The sequence below is a fragment of the Homo sapiens genome, chromosome 7 (genome assembly GCF_000001405.40).
Source record: "Homo sapiens chromosome 7, GRCh38.p14 Primary Assembly".
NCBI lineage: Eukaryota > Metazoa > Chordata > Mammalia > Primates > Hominidae > Homo > Homo sapiens.
Genome location: NC_000007.14, coordinates 26,628,878 through 26,651,665, shown reverse-complemented (window position 1 = coordinate 26,651,665; position 22,788 = coordinate 26,628,878). Strand labels below are relative to the sequence as shown.

General features: G+C 43.5%; 1 long non-coding RNA gene across 2 annotated transcripts, besides 2 other annotated features; it reads right to left on the bottom strand.

Annotated features, from left to right (window-relative positions):
• Positions 1-4,393: 4,393 nt before the first annotated feature.
• LINC02860 (long intergenic non-protein coding RNA 2860) lies at positions 4,394-13,795 on the bottom strand. 2 transcript variants are annotated; one of them, NR_161201.1, is made up of 4 exons: positions 13,730-13,795; positions 12,322-13,171; positions 10,902-10,970; positions 4,394-5,366 (listed from the first exon to the last, which is right to left on the bottom strand). It is a non-coding gene; the product is annotated as a long intergenic non-protein coding RNA 2860 (long non-coding RNA). The 2 variants fall into 2 exon arrangements; NR_161202.1 differs by having other exon boundaries at positions 10,902-10,966.
• Positions 20,595-21,094: an enhancer, noted in NCBI's record as "H3K4me1 hESC enhancer chr7:26670191-26670690 (GRCh37/hg19 assembly coordinates)". NCBI's record gives its function as "activates a minimal SCP1, AML or CMV promoter by ChIP-STARR-seq in naive H9 embryonic stem cells {active_cell/tissue: H9 hESC(naive)}" and the evidence as "EXISTENCE:reporter gene assay evidence [ECO:0000049][PMID:30033119]".
• Positions 21,095-21,596: an enhancer, noted in NCBI's record as "H3K4me1 hESC enhancer chr7:26669689-26670190 (GRCh37/hg19 assembly coordinates)". NCBI's record gives its function as "activates a minimal SCP1, AML or CMV promoter by ChIP-STARR-seq in naive H9 embryonic stem cells {active_cell/tissue: H9 hESC(naive)}" and the evidence as "EXISTENCE:reporter gene assay evidence [ECO:0000049][PMID:30033119]".

Here is a 22,788-nt window from a genome sequence, read left to right as displayed (position 1 = left end):
CGATTCTCCTGCCTCAGCCTCCTGAGTAGCTGGGATTACAGGCATGCACCACCACGCCCAGCTAATTTTGTATTTTTAGTAGAGACAGGGTTTCTCCATGTTAGTCAGGCTGGTCTCGAACTCCCGATCTCAGGTGATCCGCCCACCTCGGCCTCCCAAAGTGCTGGGATTACAGGTGTGAGCCACCGCGCCCAGCTGGGGGGTTCTGCATTTAAAGCACAGACATAAGAAGGGGACAGGAGTGCTGAGGTCTTTCCTGAGGGCACCCTTCAGGTCTCCTCCATAGGTATACACAATCTCCTCTTGGGGAAAGAGAAGAGCTTTACATCTCAGAAGGCTAAATGAACTAAAGATGCCCAATAGTGCCCAGCTGGGTGACCTCAGGGAGGCCACTGGACCTCTCTGAGCCTGTTTTCTCACTGATAAAATTGAGCAGAATGAATACTGAGTGTTTTACCTGATTAAAACTTTATAACCAGTGCCATGTTGTGTTTGGCTTTTATAAGTATTGGGATTACGGGGAATTATAATGAATGACCAGAAGGAAATACTGGTTTCCAAGGGTTTAAGCAGATGAGGAGAGACTGCTTTAACACAACACATTTGTAGTGCAGATAAGATATAGTCTCACAGCCTAATTCCCATGCCCACTCCGCATCCTCATACATGATTACATTGCATTCAACTTGGTGACTTGTCTATTCGCAGCTTGGCTGCAGAAGCTGCTGTCAGTGGTGTTGACATTAAATTCCATGGGGCAGAAGGCAGTGGGCCCTTTGGGATGGAAACTGTCCCAACTGTACCATCTTTCCTGGCATGACCAAACTGGCAGGCAGGGATTGCTTTACCTTTCTTGCCCAATCACCAGCATTCTCTGGGCTTTTTCCTCTTAAGCTTACCATTTTCAAAATCGTGTTGATCACGTAATTCTTTTTAGCCCAAAGGCATTGCCCTCCAGATTTCCCTGATTCTAGTAATACGTTGTTTTTACCCAGTGCCCTAGATGCTTGTTTTGTAAGTTCATGGCTCCACATATAGTACAAGTGTTTTGTAAAAGACCATTACTTCATTGTAATAATGTGAGTTATCTTATTCTCATTTTTAGAAGTAGGGCTACTCTAGCATTAATTCAACAATAATATGCATCAGCATTGGGCAAGGACTTGGGGATAGAGTTGAATGAAACACTTCCCATGACTTCTAGGTCTAAAATAGTTAACACTCGTATAATGTTTACCAATTTCAAAGGACTTCTCTCCACATTTTCTCATGTGCTTTCCACAATAATTTGGCAAGGGAAGCAGAGCAGATGATATTATTTCCATTTGAGAGAAAAACTAGGCAATTGTTCAGACTCCCATGGGTTAGCAGTGTTGAGTGCCACCTCAAATTCTTCTGGCCACAGACCTCTTGCTCCTACCTCTCCACCATGTGCCTACCCAGAGCCATAGCCAAGACAAAGTATTCTTAGTAAACCCTTCCCAATGTGTTCTGCTTCTGAGATGCATCTAATACTGTGAGAGACTAAAACGGTGGTGAGTGGAGGAGCTGGTTAAGGTGTTTAACCCAAGTCTCCCTATGCCATGCCTGTTGGATTGGTGCCTCCTTTGGGTGATGAGGCAAGGGCGGCCCGTCCACTGCCTGAAGTTTCTAATCCAGTTGTATACTTTCTTGAACTTACACCATTGAAAAATATCAAGGTCAGAACATGATTGAAGAACCTTTTTCCTCTCTTTTAAGTTACCACATTTATATATTGTTTTGCACTGAAGAAGGTTCTCTTAAAAATGAGGTTGAGATCCCTAAAGAAATTGCTTCAATCAGCAGCAGGGCTTAATGACTGTTAATGGGAAGTGGAGATAGGATAGTAAGTGTTACTTTGATTAATAAGAGAACGGCAGAGAATTTAAATTGTGCCACTGATGGATTATTTTCTTCAAGCTTGATAAGCACTTCTCATTTGTTCTTAAATTTGGTCAATACTGTTAAAGGCAGCAAAATGAAGTATAATTAATTCTATTACGGCTACTCAGACCAAGTGTTACTAAGAAACAGATTATGATGCCAACAACAGTGGGAGTCACAGTGCTGACAGTTTGATTCTTTGAATACCTGTCATCGCTTATTAGCCTGAAAGAATGAACAAAATAATTCTGTATTCTGATTTTGAGATACCTAAAACCATTTTTTTCCATCTGTGTGTGTTCCACTGACCATAGTACAGGAAATATCAGTAAGATGATCAACTGACACTAAAATTATCCTGTATTGGAAGTATAGAGAGTAAATAAAAGATTGAGCTAATATATCAGTGAAAACATTAAGAGCTGATGCTCATTTTGAATTAATCACTAAGAAAATGGGATATTGATTTGATGTTGAATGGCTGTTGAAAGCTTTACATATTTCCTCTTTTCCAAAGATTCTGCCCCATATTAATAAGCCATGCTTTTTACTTTTCCTATTAAATTTATTCGGAACTGTTGATATGCAGATGACATTTAGAGCAAAGATACTTTATTTTAGTAGACAATTTTATTTGCTATGAATGCTAATGCCTAGGACACTAGACAGACCCTTTCCCTTGTTTTCTGCAAACAGCAGGATGCATCAATATTTTCAGAATAGGCTTTTTTTCTTGACCCCTTTAAAATCTATCCCTATCTATTTATTTAAGAGATACAAATCACTCTATAAGTTATGCTAAAAGTCATGGCTGAATGTGGGCTGATACATACAAGGTCTTACCTACTAGTTTTTAGCTTCTTAATTCAGTGACTCTTAGCCTGGCAGTTCATACTCTGAGTCATCTCTACGTAATTCAAGGAGTGCTTGCATGCCTTAAAATGAAAGAGATTAATTCCACTTTATTTTTTGAAAGAAAATATGCAATACATCAGTTCTGTTTCACAGAAACCACTAAATAACAGCAGGATTTTACAACTTCAGAAAAACTGGGCCTCAGACTGAACATGTGTCCTTCTGTTCACTGTTTCTAATTCCAAGTGTTGCGTTTCTTCCAAGTGTATAAAGTTACTAGGTGAGTAATCTAGGGTTAATATAAAATCTAAGTATGGTTGGTTAGTAGTGCAGTTATAAAGTTTCTCTGAAGTTCTAATTCCATTAATAAAAAATGTAAACCTTATCTGTTATGAATTGAGAACCAATTCTTTTGCCCAGATGTCCCATAAACATAATTTCCAAAGATGGGAAAATTATAGGAAAAACACTTCAGACCAGAATGTGAAAGTCAAGCCATGCTAGAAGAGCTTGTCTGCAGAGCATGTCTTTGGAGACAGAATCCAGGGTATGAGAAGGTGCCCTGAGCCATCAGACTGCCAGTAGCCCTAGTTCCGGGGGTACTTCTGCTACTGCACAGCGCAGAACGACCTTGGGCCAGCCTCTTGATCCCCGTGAGACTAAGTTTCCTCCTCTGTAAGGTTAAGGGTTGGCGCAACTGATCTCCCAGGTTCTTTCACCCCTAAAAACACTGGTCTTTGAGTAAAGCTCGTGCATAAGATATTCAGATGATCCTTTTAAAGCTGTTTGCTCAAAACGATGTGGTCTGTGGTCTGTATAGACACTAGAAAGGCCTGCTATGCTTCAAGCTCGTGTTCTCCCAGTGTGGATAATAATTCATTCTTCAGATGTTAAGTGGCCCCCACCACATACCAGGCCTGTGCTCCATGCAGGACATGAGGAACCCAGGCTTGTTTCTGCCCCCAGGGAGCTTCCTCACTGAGGGTGGGGGAGGCAAATGACAAGTGCACACACCAGCATGTAACAGAAAAGATTCCTTCAGATAAGTCCACTGAAGAAATGCAAGCCAAGAAATGTGATCAAATATGGTCAGAGAAGGGCTCTCTGACAATGGGAAACTGAGAGAGAAAAAACTAACCAGCAGAGGCAGGTGAGGGGAGATGGAAAGGGTAATTCAGCCTTCCTTGCCTGAGTGCAGAAAGAAGCATGACATGCATCTGCATTGTCTTAACACCTGGTCAGTTTTTCTTTCTTTCTTTCTTTTTTTTTTTTTTTGAGACAGAGTTTTGCTCTTGTCACCCAGGCTGGAGTTGCAGTGGCACGATCTCGGCTCACTGCAACCTCGGCCTATCGGGTTCAAGCGATTTTCCTGCCTCAGCCTCCTGAGTAACTGGCATTACAGGCACCTGCTACCACACCCGACTAATTTTTGGTTTTTTTAGTAGAGATGGGGTTTCACCATGTTGGCCAGGCTGGTCTTGAACTCCTGACTTCAGGTGATCCATCCACCTCGGCTTCTTAAAGTGCTGGGATTACAGGCATGAGCCACGGCGCCTGGCCCAGTTTTTCTTTTCTATTAAATATACTTGAAATGTGCTCCTGCTAATTCAAGAAAAACCAAGCCGAGAAACGATTGTTTCCATTGCTTTTAATCCAGTCATTCCCAGCCATAGCAATTCGAGTCATTTTGACTTTGGTTTTCCAGATTACTGCAGACAATTCAAGTTTTAAAAACTTCAACTTGGATTCTTTCCATTCATACTGTATCTCTGTGTTTGCCCAGAGAATTTGGTACAACGTATGACTTTAGAATTACTGTATAATGCTCAGAGGTGTGAAATGCCATTTCGAGTAATGCCTTTCTTCAGTTAATATAGATAAATATTGATGGCAGACAGCAGTAAAACAAGTCATTAAATTCTTCAGTGCAAGTGTGTCCCACATATTGCTGCAAGCTACAGAAATCACACCAGACTCCAAGAAAACCACTGCCTGTGATTACAGAGCACTTGTATTTCCAGCTTTCGCATTCCAGATAGGAATATAAGGGAGTTTGGATGAGTCACGGGGACCAAGAACCAATGTAAAGAGACAGGGAATGGGGCTTAGATTGCCCTGCTGGTCTATTCTATCCACTGTTCTTTTCTCGTCCACCCTAATGAATTCCTGGGTGAGCCAGAAACCTTTGAAAAATGGCTATCAGCTACAAATGGGAGGTCTGATGCTCTGAAAACAAAGAAACTTTAAACTGGTAACCCTATAAAACCAGCTGAAGATTTGGAGGAGGAATAAACCCCTTCCTCTGCTGCTGTTTTGATGATTTGACATCCGCGGCTGTCGTGGTGATGCAGAACTTGCTTGGGTTTCACAGAAGCATCGGGGTGCTTATAGGGCCAGATAACATGTTTGCTGTCTGAGTCTTCAGATGAAAAATGAAAGGAACCATTTCCTCATTTGATAATGCCACCCTCAAGGATTCCAGCCTGGTATAGACTGTGAAGCTCCACAGCATGGTGAATGCTTTCTTCAAGGTGTTTTTAATGGGCCCTGGATTGTCAAAGATGCCACTCATAATGAGGCCGAGAGTCCCACATGCGGAGAAAGCTCTGTAATGAGGGAGGAGGACGATTTGTTACAGTTATGTGGTTACTTGGCCATAATATCTTTTTGAGGCTTATTAAATCATATAAAATTTCAATTCACACTGTAATATTCTATAAAAGATGGAGCGCACAGAAGTAATAAGTATGACAACATTTCTTTCTTTATGAATCATCCTGTTGATTGCGTTAACACTGTCACATCCAGCGGCAGGGTTATTTATGTCGGGACAGTAATTTTCCATCTCCAACTTAATTTTGTAAAAGTTAATTACAAATTAGAATAAAATAAATGCAGTTATGGAAGGCAAAGAAGTGCTGAAATAGATGTTATTGGGGAAAATATTTACGCAGGCTGCTGCTCGTGGAGATCATTGTGCTGTACCTGGTGGCTGTCAGGGCACCCCGCACCACCCATTTGTTGGGTAAAGAGAAGCTCTTGGCTTTCTCTACCAGAAAATGAACTGTTCTTGGAAGAACATAGGGTCTCAGCTGTCATCCTAGTGAAACTCCTCCCTTTCCTAGTCTGGCCATTGGGCCCAGACAGGTCACAAAACTTGCCACAGTCACCAGCAAGATCATTACAGCACAAGGATGAGAATTCAGGGCTCTTGACACTAGGTCAGTCAACTTTCACTTCACTTAAATGTGGATGTATTTTCGTTTCTGCCTTAAAAGTGCGGGAAGAGGAGGCTTAAAGGAGGAGGAAAGTTTCTCCAAATTTCCTCTCAAGACAACCGTGCCTAGGGAGATGGAAAATCGAAATACACGTATCCCTTAGGTGGGGACCTTCTCAGATGAATTCCTCTTCCGTCTTGCCACTGCCATTGGTAGCAGCAAAGTTTCTTGGACAGAATTCCTGCCAAAGCAACCTGGCAGAAGGGTGGGTTACACTGCGGCAGGCTTCACACCAGCCAGCCCTGACCCCAGAGAGAAAGAAGCACCAGAGAGGAGAACCAAAGCAGAAGTGGTAAGCGCTCCGGGCCCCTGGATAGGAAACCCTGGCCCTTCATTTACTTCCCCAGTCGTTTCTCCAGTGTTCAGTTCACTTTCCCCTGGGTCTCAAGTGTGTCTGTGCCTGCTCAATGACACCTGCTTACTTTCCTCCACATCCACTTTGCTCTTTCCAATCAAATGTGCTCTCTCTTTTCCTTCCCGTCCTCACCATCACACTTGACCCATTCTGGGGGTCTTTTGAAGTATCATGATTGACTCACTAGGTGAAAGACTTTTATATTTCTTTTTTAATAGAGCAAAAGTGACTCTAAATTTGTTAATATTCTTTAGGTTACATAGGACAAATTACAGATAAGTGAATCAGTAATGAAATTTGTAATGAGAATTTCTCAAGTATGAAATGTTGGCACAAGGAAAGTTAATTGCGGGATTTTACAGCCATTATAGTTTATATCATAAATGCAAAAATGACTAGGCCCATTTAATTACAGTAGGAACACACTAAATTTTTATGGAGTGCCATTTTGTTAAAGAGATACTCGGAGCATTAAGAGCCAATACCTCCTAACAGTGGGTCCAGGTAGCTTTCGAAACATCAAATAAATATGCTATTGCTACAAAATTGTTCCTTAGATACTATAATTGACACAATGACTAATGAGATGGGTTTATTCTCACAGCTTCACGCACTCAATTTACAGTGTCTGAAAGTTATTTTTTTCTGCCATCCATAGACCTGGAAGGAACTAGAAAAATCCCTCTTGGAAAACACTATCTCTGCTGCTTCTCTAATTAACCTTCAAAAATGCATTTTGAAATATAGAAGTTGGTGCCTGGCATAGAAATTGGATTGTCTCAGAAAAAAAAAGACCCAAGTGCTAATTTGTTCCTTATTAAATATCTGACATGTCAAAATTACAGGCAGTTAATGTTTTGGAGCCTTTCAACAGGGCTCAGGGACAGCTCTTCTTGCAGGCGAGGCTTAGTAGAGCAGTTGTGGGTACCAGTTCTCCCAGGAATTAGTGCCCAGGCTGCCTCTTCACACCCCCACCTCCCATCCAGCCTGGGTTCTGTAGGCATCAAGCCCCCTTTTCTCTAGGGGAAGGAGGCTGTCTAAGGGGACAGACATGGGATTCTGTGCCTCCCCATCATTGTGAGCTTGGGGGATGCATCCCCTCCTTACCTTCTTACCCCAGGCCTTAGGAGCGCCCAGAATGGAAAGATTTCATGGGGATTAGCGTTGTATTCACTCAGGACCCCTGAGAATATTTCAGATTATTCTGGAAACCAAGGGTGTCATCCCCACCTTCCATTATTCAGTGAAGTCCTGGGGAGGATACTTTTCTAAACAGTATTCCTTTCCCCATCAAAAACAACTGAAGGATATGTGTGGTCCCCATGTTTAACCAACGGAGCTGAAATTCAAGTACTCTTGATTTGGGAAAACCTGCATTCAAACCCTGCTTGATCATACAGTAACTGTGAACTTCGAGCTTCTGTGTCTGAGTAGGAAAAAACACAATGATTTTTCCTCTTCCCTCACACCACAACGATCCACACAGAAGACTTCTCGACCAAACGTGGGGATTTCTCCCCACCAACAAGCAGTCAGTTCTGCAGCAGACACCAGCTGAGGGGCCTCCAAATCAGTTCTGGCGCGACACACCTGGAGACCACAGAAGACCCCCCCCCCCCCCCCGCCGCCACTGAGACCAAGGGCTCAGTCCCACAAGACTCACCTCACTCCCGGTGCTGATCCCCAGGCCCCAGGTTCTCACCTGTGCTTCTGACTGACCGGCCGTAAGTTGGGGATCCCATGATCCCCTCCTTGGGTTTGATTAATTTGCTAGAGTGGCTCATGGAACTCAGGGAGACACTTATATTGACCGGTTTATCATATAGAACAGTAGGAAAGATACAGGTGAAGACGCATAGGAGAAGGCACGTGAGGGGCGCAGAGCTCCCAGTCCTCCCTGGCGCGCCACCCTCCACATCTCCACATGCTCAGCCATCCCGAAGCTCATCCTCTCCCATCCTGTTTGGCCTTTACGGAGACATCACTGGACAGGCATGATGGAGGCACGGACAACCATGTGGAAAGGTGATTGGACACAAAGGGTACCATCCAGCAGGAACAGACGGAGTGGGGAACCCAGCAGGGCCTGTCTGTCCAGATCCTTCTTGGCCTGTCTGTGTGGCTTTCCTTCCCCAGGGATGGGGCGGGACCCCTTCTGAAATGGGGGTCTTATGACCTACGGTCAGGCAAGGTAGGTCAGAAATTTTCTTTAGGGTCAGCTCCAAGAAAGAAAGGTGGGGGAATATTCCTGCCTTGGGGAGAAAAAGGAGGGCAGGAGAAGGTCAGAGAGAAGGGTTCTGTTTTCTGAGGCCTAAAGCACCCAACATGGTAACAAAAGGGCTATGGGAGTTATGGGCCAGGAACCATGGACAAAACTATGTATTCTATTAATATTTCTATACCTATGTCTATACCTAGCTATATATACACACAGTATATATACACATACACTCATACACATCACACACATGCATACAACCCACATTCACACACATCACACACTCACATACACATCACACACACACCACACACACACACAGCACACACATACACTCACACATCACACACACACTGCACACACCACACACAAAACACATACTCACACATCACATGCACACACACATACACATCATGCACATTCATATACACCACACACACACCACACACATACACTCACACACCACACACACACCACACACATACACTCACACCACACACACATATGCATCACACACACCACACACTCATCATCCACCGCACACATCCACCACACACACAACACACACACACACACACACACACAGACATACACTCACATACGCATCACACATTGCACTCACATACACACATATACCGCACACACACATACACATACGTATACACACATATGTGTGCCCACACTTGGAGTGAATCCCTGGCATTGTGAGGCATGCTCCCCAAACCCTTCATTAATTCCCCAAATTGCAATATTAACAATGGAAACATGGCCATATAAAGTCACAGTGTCCTCATCTGAAAAATGAGAAAGTAATCATGATACGTACTTCACAAAGTCATTGTGAGAATCTGATAATTTAGTGAAGAGTTTGTAAATATAAAAGCAGGATAGCACATGTCCATACCAGCGTTATTCACAGTAGGCAAGGGATGGAGACTGCTGCAGTGTCCACCCACCGATGAATGAATACGCAACATGTGACATGTACAGGTGCTCCTCGGTACCCACAGGGAATTGGTTCCAAGAATTCCCACAAACACCAAAATCTGTGGATATGAAATGTACCATTTGCATGTAACCTATGTACATCCTCCCAAATACTTTAAATCATTTCTATATTACTTATAATGCCTCATACAATGTAAATGCTATGTAAACAATTGTTATATGGTATTGTTTAGGGAATAATAAGAAAAAAGTCTGCACGTGTTCAGCACAGATGCAATTTATATGTGTGTATATATATGTAAATATATATATTTTATATATATATATTATATATATATATTTTATATATATATATTATATATATATTTTATATATATATATTTTATATATATATTTTATATATATATATTTTATATATATATTTTATATATATTTTTTTGAGACAGAGTCTTGCTGTGTCACCCAGGCTGGAGTGCAGTGGCACAATCTCAGCTCACTGCAACCTCTGCCTGCCGGATTCAAGCAATTCTCCTGCCTCAGCCTCCCGAGTAGGTGGAAGTACAGGTGTGCACCACCACGACTGGCTAATTTTTGTATTTTTAGTAGAGATGGGGTTTCACCATGTTGACCAGGCTAGTCTCCTGACCTCAAGTGATCCACTCGCCTCAGCCTTCCAAAGTGCTGGGCTTACAGGCGTGAGCCACTGTGCCCGGCCTTTTTAATATTCTTGATCTGCATTTGGTTGAATCCATGGATACAGAACCCACAGATATCCAGAGGCTGACTGTACCTACAATGGAATATGATTCAGCCTTCAGAAGGAGGGAATTTGAACCCATGCTACACCATGGATGACCTTGAAGACATTATACTAAGTGAAATAAGCCACTCACAAAAGGACAAATACTGCATGACTCCATGTACACGACATCCTGCAGTAGTTAAATTCATGAAGACAGAAAGTAGAATAGTGATTGGCAGGGGCTGTGGGAGGGAGGAATGGGGAGTTGTTTAATGGGGACGGAGTTTCAGTTTTTCATGTTAGAAGTGTTCTGGGGATGGATGGTGGTGATGGTTGCACAACAATATGAATGTACCTAATGCTGCTGACTGTACTTAACAGTGGTTAAGATGGTAAACTTGATGTTATGTGTATTTTACCACAATTAAAAATAATTTTTATAAAGCACAGGATACCAGGGGTTCCTAATCTGGAGTTTGTGCACCTAGAATGAACTCACCTGGGTTCATGAATTTCCTAAAATTGCATGAAAAAACATGTTTGAGATATTTCTTCTCCTTAATAGTATCTACATGAAAAACTGTCCAGAAAATAACTTACCTTTTCATCATAGGAATAATTGAACTGTATCCTAGCTCATGATTTATACCCATTTCACTCAGATTCTGGCTGTGGAAACAACACAAATGAGAATCAACAGTACTTAGGGAACAACTGGGTACTGGATGGGACAGTGCGGAGCGGTGAGAGAGGGGCAGGAGGCAGCTATCTTAACCAGCCCAGGAGAGTGGGGAGATGACAGGACCGGGAACAGAAAATATATCTAATGTACATTGCATACATGGAACTTGTAGATGTAGCATTCGTGGTGGCCTTGACTATTTGGGGTGACCTCAAATGTCACAGCATGGGTCCTTTTTTAAAGTGGAAAACAATGCCTTCCTAACACTCTTGGGAGGCTGAAACAAGCTATGGCGTGCAGAGCACTATGTGCATGTGACCTGTGGTGCCGGCAGGCCACTGGGCAGCCCGTGTGCCTGCTGTGGATGGGTCTGTAGACGGCCCTCAAAAGCCATGTTTCCACTGTTACTATTGCGATTTGGGGAATTAATGAAGGTCTTGGGAAGCGTGCCTCACGACGCCAAGGACTCACTCCAAGCGCGAACACACACGTGTGTGTGTGTGTATGTGAATATGTATGTGTGTGTGGTGTATGAGTGTGGTGTGTGTATATGCATGCAATGTGGTGTGTATGTGTGTGGTGTGTGTGGGGTGTGAATATGCTTCTATGTGTGTGTATGTTTTGTGCGATGTGTGTGGTGGGTGCCTATGTGTGATATGTATGTGTTGTGTGTGTGATATGTATGTGTGTGGATGTATGTGTGTGGTGTATACTTGTGTGTGGTGTGTATTTGTGGTGTGTGTATATGTGTGTGGTGTGTGTATATGTGTGTATGTGTATGTGTGTAGTGTGTGTATATGTGTGTATGTGTATGTGTGGTGTGTATGTGTGTACGTATGTGTGGCAGGTGTGTGTGTGCTTGTGTATGAAGCGTGTGTGGTAGGTGTGTGTGTTTGTGTATGATATGTGCATGTGGTGTGTCTGTGTATGACGTGTGTGGTCTGTGTGTGTCTGTGTTTGTGTATGATGTGCGCATGTGTCTGTTTGTGGTGGGTGTGTGTGGGTGTGTGCTTATGTCTGTGTGTGTCTGTGTTTGTGGTGTGTGTGGGGGGGGATGTATGTGCACATGTGTGTTTGTGTCAGCCAGCCCTGGCTCGCACAGGCAGAGCAGACCACCTCCACAGTGTGACCTGAGGAGCAGTGGCCCTCAAACACCTTTCCCACCATGTGTCATGACACTGCCAACTCCTCCATTAATTTCTCTAAATCAAGGCAGTGATTCCATTTCCTAGGAACTCTCTCAATTACATTTCAAATACCCCTGTATCCATTTGCTAGGGCTGCCATAACAAAATACCACGGACCAGGGCCTTAAACAACAGGCATTTATTGTCTTACAGTTCTGGAGGCTGGAAGTCCAAGATCAAGGCGTAGGCAGGGTTGGCTTCCCCGAGGCCCCTCTCCCTGGCTTGCAGGTAGCCGCCTTGTCTCTGTGTCCTCATGTGTCTTGTCTCTGAGTGTGCACATCTCTGGTGTCTCTTCCTCTTCTTAAAAGGACACCAGTCAGATTGGGTTAGGGCCCATCCACAGGACCCCATTTTAACTTAATCACTTATTCACAGGTCCTATCCAGAGTTAGATTCTGAGGCGCTGGGGGTTAGGGAAGCAGCATAGAAATTTTGGGGAAAAGCAATTCAGCCCATAGCAGCCCTGAGAGAGGTAACACACTAGACTGCTTCGGGGTCACAGGAATGACATTTGCGGCTCCCTTGCTGCACATCTGCTGCTTGAGGGTGGGTCTTTAGGGGATAGTGGGGCTTTTGATAGATGGCCGACCTGGGGCAGGGCAATTCCGGAGCAGAGGGCTCTGACTCCCTGTGAAGGAAGGACCCTGGCTGGAGGATCCCCACCTATGCTCCAAGGTGGTAGCCCTGGGCCTATGAGGGGACCATCACGATGTGGGAATGGGATGCAGGGAGTGGAGCTGAAAGCCCACCAGAGACAAACCCGACTAACTACCCTTCAGTTTTGCCCAAGACGCTGTTCACTTCAACTCATCCATTCATGGAAGTAACTTTCCTGCCAAGCTCTCTTCCTCTGGTGATGGTGGAGATTCTATACACTTTCTTCATGGTCTCTCAGCCAGCGGCAGCTTCTGGGCCCACCTTGCTTCACTCCCCATCCATACCCAGCAGGGGCTTCCTAAGGAACTGTATTAGTCGGTTCTCACACTGCTATAAGGACATACCTACGATTGGGTAATTTATAAAGAAAAAGATTTAATTGACTCACAGTTCCGCAGGGCTGGGGAGGCCTCAGGAAATTTATAATCATGGCGGAAGGAGAAGAAAACACTTCCTTTGCGACGTGGCAGCAGCGAGAAGTGCAGAGGGAAGGAGGGGAAAGCCTCTATAAAACCATCAGATCTCGTGAGAACTCACTTGCTATCACGAGAACCGCATGAGGGTAACCGCCCCCTTGATTCAACTACCTCCCTCCGGGTCCTTCCCAGGACACATAGGGATAATGGGAACTGCAATTCAGCATGAGATTTGAGTGCGGACACAGCCAAACCGTATCAGGAACTTATGTGATTAAGCAGTACATTTGAAGAGGAAATGGTTGAGCCGTTGTTATAAGATGCTTCCCAGAGCTTTGCGGTGTCCAGCATTCTGACATCAACGTAGGGTTTCTATCAAGTAGTTGGGCTGTCAGTCTACCACCAGCAAATAAACCTGACCCTCTAAAGGCTGATAGAAAGAAACATCCCATAAGGGGTAGCTCTTCCCTTTACATTACCACCTACCTCAACAATGAGGTCAGCGGGATAGAGCAGAAATTGCACTGGGCTGGAAACCGAGATCCTACTGCTGATTTTGTCTCCAAGTGACTTTGTGACCTCATATAAGTCATTTAACCTTCGTGGGCCTCTTTCCTCGTGAAGGAAATGATGAAAGTGAGTGTTGGAACAATCTGTGATACTCAGCGGCAGGAAAGCTCACCCAGAAGGCTGAAATCTGCATACATAAATAACTCGAAAACAAAGCCATGCTTGGTCCTTTTTTATTTAGTTCAATCAACATATCTCATCTAATGTTAAAAGAAAGGACATAGGATTTTTTTAAAGAAATTTTTGTTTTGAACTAATTTTAGACTTACAGAAAAGTGGCAAAAGTAATATATACTTTCCTTATATCTCTTCTATCATTTCCCCTGATATCACCATCTTATATAACCATAGTACAACTATTAAGAACTGGAAATTAACATCGGCACAATGTAACTAACTGAACTACAGTCCTATTTGAAACTCACAATTTTTTTCCACTAATGTCCTTTTTTTCTGCTCAGGATCTAATCTAAGATCCTAAATTGCATTTAGCTGTATTTCTCCTTCTTCTCCTCCACTGGGTAACGGTTCCATGGTCTCTCCTTTACTTTCATGACCCTGACACTTTGGAAGAAAATGGATCGGTTCCACAGGAGAATATCCCTCAGTTTGGGTTTGTTTGTGCATTCTCATGAGTGGGGTAAGGTTATGCCTTTTTGGTGAGAATACACAAAAATCATGGCACATCTTCCTCAGTGCATCATTCAAGGGGTTCATGAGAGCCACATCTTATAACTGGTGACATTGATCTTGGTCACTTGATTAAGGTGGTGTCTGCTGGGTTTCTCACTGTCAAGTTATTATCTTTCCCTTTGCAGTGGATAAGTATCTAGGCTGACGCTTTGAGACTAGGCATGGCCTGTTTGTCCTCCAGCTTTCACTCACCAGTGCTAGCATCCCTCAGCAGATCTTGTCTGCAGTGCTCACTCTGTGGAGTCCTGTCCTCTTCCCTTCTACATGTATTCATTGGCGTTCCACTGTGCAGAAGCGCTGTCTTTTCTCCTTCATTATTTATGTGGTTTTTGTTTGTTTATTCATATCAGTGTGGATGTTTAATTATTGTATTTGTGGATGTTTTTAGTCTAGCTTAAAATGTAACGCTATCTTTATCTTGCTGCTCAGATCGTCTCAGCTCTTCGCTCTTTCACATTGGTTCCCGAGCTCTTTTGACAGACTCTTATCTTTATTTTGAGCATTTTCTTATTTTCTGGCACCACAAGATGTTTCAGACTGACCTTGTGTTTTCCATGTCCTGGCTTGGGAATCAGCCACTTCTTCACGATTCCTGGTTCCTTTTACAGGAGAATGGTGTGGAGAGACCAAGATCTATGTTGTAGATGGGTCCATTGTTATTGGAATGGTATTGCTTTTAAGCCCTCAAAACAGAGGGCTAGGTATATATGTGTGCATGCTAAGCTGCACAAACATACCCATCTACCTCTGTCTTCTTCTCTCCTGCCCTCTTTAAAGATCTTGAGTTCATAGTGATACCCATGATTCTAAGCTATACCACAGGAAATCATTTTATACTTGTTTCTTCTCTTATTTGTGACATCTTTCTCCAACAGTGAAAACCCTGGCTCTCATCATATACAATATATTTACTTATTTGTTCAATTCCACTACCGTTGTCCCTTGGTATACACAGGGGTTTGGTTCCAGGACCCCCTCACCCATGCCAAAGTTCGTGCATACTCAAGTTCCGAAGTCAGACCTGGGCAACATGAGTAGAGGAAAAGTCTGCCCTCCGCCTCTGCAGGTTTCAAATCCCTCGAATACCGTAAACCACGCCTGGTTGAAAAAAGCCCATGTATAAGTGGACCCTCGCAGTTCAAACCTGCATTGTTCAAGGGTCAACTGTATCTATATAAAGTAGTTTTGAACGGCTAGCTCATACTGCCATGAGAAATGCTTTTACTAACTGATCACAGCGTTTATGCACAGTTCCATGCCCTTGGCTTTTCAGCATCCAGCGGAATACTGTTTTCCACAGTGGTTTAGATTAGTTATTTTCTTCCCTGTTCCTTGAATGTGGTTACCTTATTTATTTGCAGTAGAGTTAGACTCCTTTATTAGTGTTTATTATATTCCATTTTGGGTTCCCTCCACATCCCAGTTGCTTTTAATTATTTGTTTAGTTTGGGTGTTATGTAAATAATTACTATGGTCAAAGAGTCAGATCTGTACAAAAAGCTGTATACAGAGAAGGATCTTTCCCTCCTCAACCCTCCCCTTTCCCACTCACCCCCTGTAGGTAGCCAACATCTTTAGTTTCTGGTTTATGTTCCTGTATTTGTTTTTCCTTTCTTTTCTCTTTTTTTTTTTTTTTTTTTTTTTTGTTTTTTGAGGTGGAGTCTCACTCTGTCACCAGGCTGGAATGCAATGATGGGATCTTGGCTTGCTGCAGCCTCAACCTCCTGGGCTCAAGTGATCCTCCTACCTCAGCCTCCCGAGTAGCTGGGACTACAGGCATGCACCACCATGCCCATGCCCAGCTAAATTTTTTTTTTTAATAGACTGGGTCTCACTATGTTGCCCAGGCTGGTCCTGAACTCCTGGACTCAAGTGATCCGCCCACCTCGGCCTCCAAAACTGTTGAGATTTCAGGCATGAACCCTGCGCCCAGCCACTTATATTTCTTTATACAAGGGAGCAGATAGCTGGGTATTTTCTTATTTCCCCTTCTTTATTACATGAAGAGTAGCATGCTATAAATACTGTTTTGGATTTTGCTTTTTTTCACTGAACAATAGGATATGAGATCTTTTTTTTTTTTTCAAAATAAGTCATGAATTTCAAAAGTCTGAGGAATGCTATGCAAACTGGATCATCTCTAACCATTTAAAAGTAGAAGATTCTAAATGGGGCACTAGAATGGTCTACTAGTTTAGAAAACTAGTCTAGAAAGACTGAAGGGTCCTTGCTTTCCAAGATCTTCCAAGGAAACTAAAGAGACAAAATGGGCATGCATAGAAAAAATTATGTCAATCTTCCGAGAAGAATCGCATCTTCCTGATAGGCAGGAAAAAAGATATCAGACAGTGACAACTTTGTCAAAGAAATGCCAGGTGGAAAGAGAGCAAAGCAATAATGATATGAGGCAGTGCAAAGCTCTTGAATTTCAAGAGACCCATAAGTTCAGCTGAGCTTCTGGCTTGTTGCAGGTCATATTGTCACGTAACTTTCTTTAGTGCACTTTCTGTATGGGTCCCTTTTGTCAATGTCTCCCAGACTTCAGCGTACACACAAATTACCTGCAGGCAGGCAGATCTTGTTTTTTGTTTTTTCAAATATGAGTATGAAATGTCCCATTTTCTTCCGCCTTTATTTATCAGTCACTCTCCTCTCGGCTGTGATTTTTTTCTAAAAATGAATGAACTGCCCATCACCGGAGCCTGAGCTCTGTTGGTGACACAGAAGTCAAGAAGGCATGGTCCTTGCCTTCGGGAAGGAATAGTATGAGACAGTAGTACAAGGGAGAGAAGACGATGCACAAACATGGACACTCAGACGTGGGAGAGTCTGTCTGGCCATGGGGGATAGCAGACAGCTGTAACTTGTTCCAAAAAAGAATAATTAATAATGATACAGTTCTAGGGAGACTAAAGGAATTGTTTCATTCTTCAAGATGAAAAATCGATTTCTTAACAAAGACTGAATTTGGTTGTGAACTGGAGAAATGTTCTCTCACTTTAAACTCTCTCTTGTCTTGGTTTCGTTCTATATTTTTAAGTCCTCTATTAGTTTAGTCACATGCAATTAACGTGTTCCATTTGACATTGGGATTAGTAATCCTCATGAACACATTAGTTCTTTTTTCTTTATTTCTATAGGTTTTTGGGCAACAGGTGGTGTGTGGTTACATGCGTAAGTTCTTTAGTGGCGATTGTGAGATTTTGGTGCACCCATCACCCAGCAGTATACACTGAACCCAATTTGTAGTCTTTTATCCGTCACCCCCTTCCCAGCCTTTCCTCCAGAGTCCCCAAAGTCCACTGTGTCATGACCCACTGCCGCAGTAGGTCTGAGGTGGGGCCCAAAATTCTGCATTCCTAAGGAGCTCTGAGGCATGCTGATGCTGTTGGTTCATGGACCACACCCTAAGCAGCAAGACCTTATATGGCGCCTGTGGCTTGAGTTCCAAGAACCACTTCCTTAGGTAGAGAATCAATATGCTTGTTTGCCATATGTAAAAAAGAAAAAAAATCCCAAGAGAAAGCTGATGCATAACTCTAGCATTCTCCTGTTTACTAAACTCTCTGAAATTCTTGATCTAACAATAAGATAAACAACATAAAAGCATTAAAATATGTTTACTGATGCATATAACTAACAGAACCTTTATATTCAATGAAAAGCAGATCCTATGTGGAGAAATAGGAACACTTTTACACTGTTGGTGGGACTGTAAACTAGTTCAACCATTGTGGAAGACAGTGTGGCGATTCCTCAGGGATCTAGAACTAGAAATACCATTTGACCCAGCCATCCCATTACTGGATATATACCCAAAGGACTATAAATCATGCTGCTATAAAGACACATGCACACGTATGTTTATTGCGGCACTATTCACAATAGCAAAGACTTGGAACCGACCCAAATGTCCATCAATGATAGACTGGATTAAGAAAATGTGGCACATATACACCATGGAATGCTATGCAGCCATAAAAAAGGATGAGTTCATGTCCTTTTTAGGGACATGGATGAAGCTGGAAACCATCATTCTCAGCAAACTATCGCAAGGACAAAAAACCAAACACCGCATGTTCTCACTCATAGGTGGGAATTGAACAATGAGAACACTTGGACACGGGAAGGGGAACACCACACACTGGGGCCTGTTGTGGGGTGGGAGGAGGGGGAAGGGATAGCATTAGGAGATATACCTAATGTAAATGATGAGTTAATGGGTGCAGCACACCAACATGGCACATGTATACATTTGTAACAAACCTGCACGTTGTGCACATGTACCCTAGAACTTAAAGTATAATAAAAATATATATATATTTTTAAAAAAGCAGATCCTAAACATTTATAGATACACCTGCTATGCAGGCAGATTAGATGCAGGTATTTGCTGAGCTTCTCTGATGTGTGCATGCCATATAAAAATTAAAATAACCTTAGCTCTGGTGGATTTTGATTTTAGTTACATGTGGGAAGGGTTAATTAGACCTTGGACTTCATGATGGTGACCAGTGTATAACATGGTACAGACGCTGCAGAACACTCTATTACCTATTGCAAGTTTCCTGAATTGAATTCTTGCTTGTGCATGTAGAATAAACTTGCCAACATGTTGTAGCTCCTTAAAGTCTCTAAGAATACATTTTTAAAAATAAGTATGTTTCTAAGTCCAAGGCATACAGGAAGCATATTTTTATCAGCTTCAGGCCCCTATGCTTAGGGGCCTGAAGAAAGTATAGGTTGTAAAAGAATTTTTCATGGTCAGTGTCAATGTCCCAGTGTTACCACACATATTCTACAGCACATTTAGTAAATAAATAGTGAATTAACTCAAATGCTCCTTGGAGAGGAAAATATTTGACAGGTTTGGCAGAAAGCTCTTGCCCGAATAGGACATCTCTGGGACCAGGGGCCTGTTGTCATCTACCAAAGTGAGACTTGGCTTGACCCTGCTGGGGATGTCACTCGTGGCTTCTCGGAGAGAATCATGGATGTCATCCAAGTACTTCGTGTAGGCTTGGAATCGGGGCATTTTCTTTCCTTCACCCACATGCCCCAATAACATTAAGTTATCTAACATTCTAGCATCTCTGATTCTGGGGTTCTCTGGGTTTTCTTTCCACGTCATGTCTCAGACCCTTCCCCTACTTTCCATCCTCATCAGCACCCCTAACCTAGGCCCTCCTCTCCCACCCGAGATACTGTGACAGCCTCCCACCTGCCCCTGCAACCACAACCTCCAACTCCTGTCCGAGCCACTGTCTGAAGAAACTCCCTAAGTGCACTTCTGATCATGTCACAGCTGCCACCTCCAGCACCTCCCAAAGACCATGAAATTGGGAGCAGTTTTCTCCGTGCAGGCTCAGCCCAGCCATCCTCCTTCTTTTTCTGTGCCCACCTGGTCTCCGCTCCAGATCACCTCCCCGCTCCTGTCTTTGGGCCGCTCCTCTTACTAGTCTCTGACCCTAGGTTCTCATCCCACCTCACACCCTCATCTTTGCCTACTGCAATTTCACTTATCTCCCAAAATCTGTCCTTTCTCCCCAAAGCCTCTCCTGATCTCACCAAGGGAAATTATTTTCTATTCCTGCAAACCTTTTCGACCTGCGGCTCATATCTTGTGAGGCACTGCATTCTGCCTTATGTCACAGTGACTAGTGTGCTTGTCTTAGCCTTGGGACTAATCCATATGGTGGTCATCATAGAAGGATTCACTTCTAAGCCCCTCCAGGTCGGGGGACCGGACTTGTCCTAGACAGTGTGCGGGAGTGGGAGCGGTGCGTGTCCTTTCTGGGATGAACGTTCAACTCCTGAAGTGAGCAATCTATATCTCTCTCTTCCCCTCTCCACAGAGGCCTTCAGTGTTTGCACTGGTGGCTGTTTTGTCGGCCTGGTCCTTGTGTGACAATCGTGCACAGTCCCCAGCTGATATAACGCACATGTAGCATGGATGAGAGACACATTTTTGCTATTTTAAGTCATTGAGGGTTTGCGGTTGTTGCCACAGCAAAACCTAGTTCCGTGGGTTGTTAAGATCCATGCAGGTAGGAGTTTTGCCTTTTGACTTGAAACATCTGTGACATTTAACACAGTGCCTGATATGTGATGAGAATCCAGAAGTTATTTGTGCAATTAAATTTAACCAAACCATGTCCAGTGTAAAATGAGACGGCAGGAAAATCAACCAGCAGGCACTGTGAAGTCAGCAGGCACTTCTCAGCTTCATGGTTTAGGCAAGTGACCCCCTCCCTCAGCTTCCTTCCCCTGTTCATAAGGGGAATAACAGTACGGCCTCCATTACAGGATTTCTGCAAGGATGCCATGACATAACGCACACACACACTCCAAACAGCCAGTGCATGGCGGCTGTCATTATTACTGTTATTATGATCGATCTCCCAGTATGAAAGTGGCATTTACTGCCGATTAGAAGGGGGGCAAAGAAAATATATCTAGAAATCAAGTAACATTAGGATTCATGTCCCAGTGGACAGGGGTGAGATGACTGGCATGGCAGCACCTCACACTGAGTCCTGTTGGGGAGGCAATGCTCAAGGAGAGACTCCCTGGCCTGCGGCCCCGGCTGCTGGCTTCCCCTGGCCCACTGGCTTCAGGCAGCCCGGGTGCCCAGCTCTTCACAGAGGAAGGCAGCAGAATCCAGAAAGCTGACAGTGGCCTTCTGGAATGAGGACCCAGAGTGGCATGGTGGGCTCTTTCAGCAATCTACTCTCCAGGACCCCAAATGTAACAATGTGTGCATTGCTACCAAAGGTAGAACACAGCTAATGTCACCAGCAGGGAAGAATAACAAGTAAGCATGCTCATTAAGGCTAATTCATCTTCTATTTTCATCTATAATCATTTCTTGAAACCAAAGAGGTCATTATCGTCAACTACATCTTCAGTGAAAAGTGCATTTGAATTTCCATATGTGGGCCACATCTTACATGCCATGCATTCATCAGGATCCTAGACATATTTCTATGTGGTTACCTGGAATCACACCTAAGTCTTACCTAAACTGTGGTTATATCTTTTAATTAAAAAATAAGCGAACTCAAATTTCCTCCTTTGAATTTATTCCACTAATATTTGTTAGGTGCCCACCATATGCTTGTCATGGTCCCTCCCACAAAAATTCAGGCAGATGGCTGACTCGGTAACTTAGGAGAGTTCTGAGAAACGGAAGAAGCTTCTAGAGGCTATGTGGGGCTCGTGCTTGGCTCTGTTGAGTATTTTTATTGTTGATTTAGCTGAGTACAGAGAAGACATGTTTATCAAGTTTGTAGACATAGTACATCTGTTATCTAGGAGAAACAGCTCCTTTACAGATGACACAATCAGGATTCAAAATGTTCTCAATAGGCTGACACACAGCTGAAACCATGATGAGGAAACTAATAAAAGTAAATGCAAAGTCCTGCATTTAGGTTCATAGAGTAAACTACACAAACACAATCCCAGTGGTTCATGTGAAAAAGAGTTGTGGGTTTTGGTTGGCTATGACCTCAAAGGGTGCCAACCATGTGAGCATCTGCTACTCATTTGAGATCAGCATTGGGCCACAATGACCCTGTGTTGTATGGGAATATTGATTCAAATGGATGCCTTGGTCAAAGAGAGAAATTGAGGGGAATTAAGATGGTGAAGTGTCTGTAAACAGTTTAAAATAAATATTGAAAACAGAAAAATATTATAGATGTGTTCAAAAATGTCAAGCACTGTGACATTAAAAATGGAGAACACAGGCCGGGCGTGGTGGCTCACGCCTGTAATCCCAGCACTTTGGGAGGCTGAGGCAGGCAGATCATGTTGTCAAGAGATTGTGACCATCCTGGCCAACATGGTGAAACCCTGTCTCTACTAAAAATACAAAAATTAGCTGGGTGTGGTGGCGCACACCTGTAGTGCCAGCTACTCAGGAGGCTAAGGCAGGAGAATTGCTTGAACTGGGAGGTGGAGGTTGTAGTGAGTCAAGATCGCACCGCTGCACCCCAGCCTGGCGACAGAGAGAGACTCCGTCTCAAAAAAAAAAAAAAAAAAAAAGGAGAACACAGGTTCTGTCTGTTGCAGAGGCTTGATGTCAATTTAGCAGGAAGCCCACCTTACAACAGATGCTCCAGTGGATAACAGAAGCCTCATAACAGATGGCTCCAGCCACAGGGCACCTGAGCAGGACTGAGCTTCTCCTCTTCTTGTGGTGGCAGCTTTCATGGCCGAGCATGTCAGCATCCCCCAGAAATCTGCGTGAGACACGTAGGCTTTCACCTTGCCCTCTG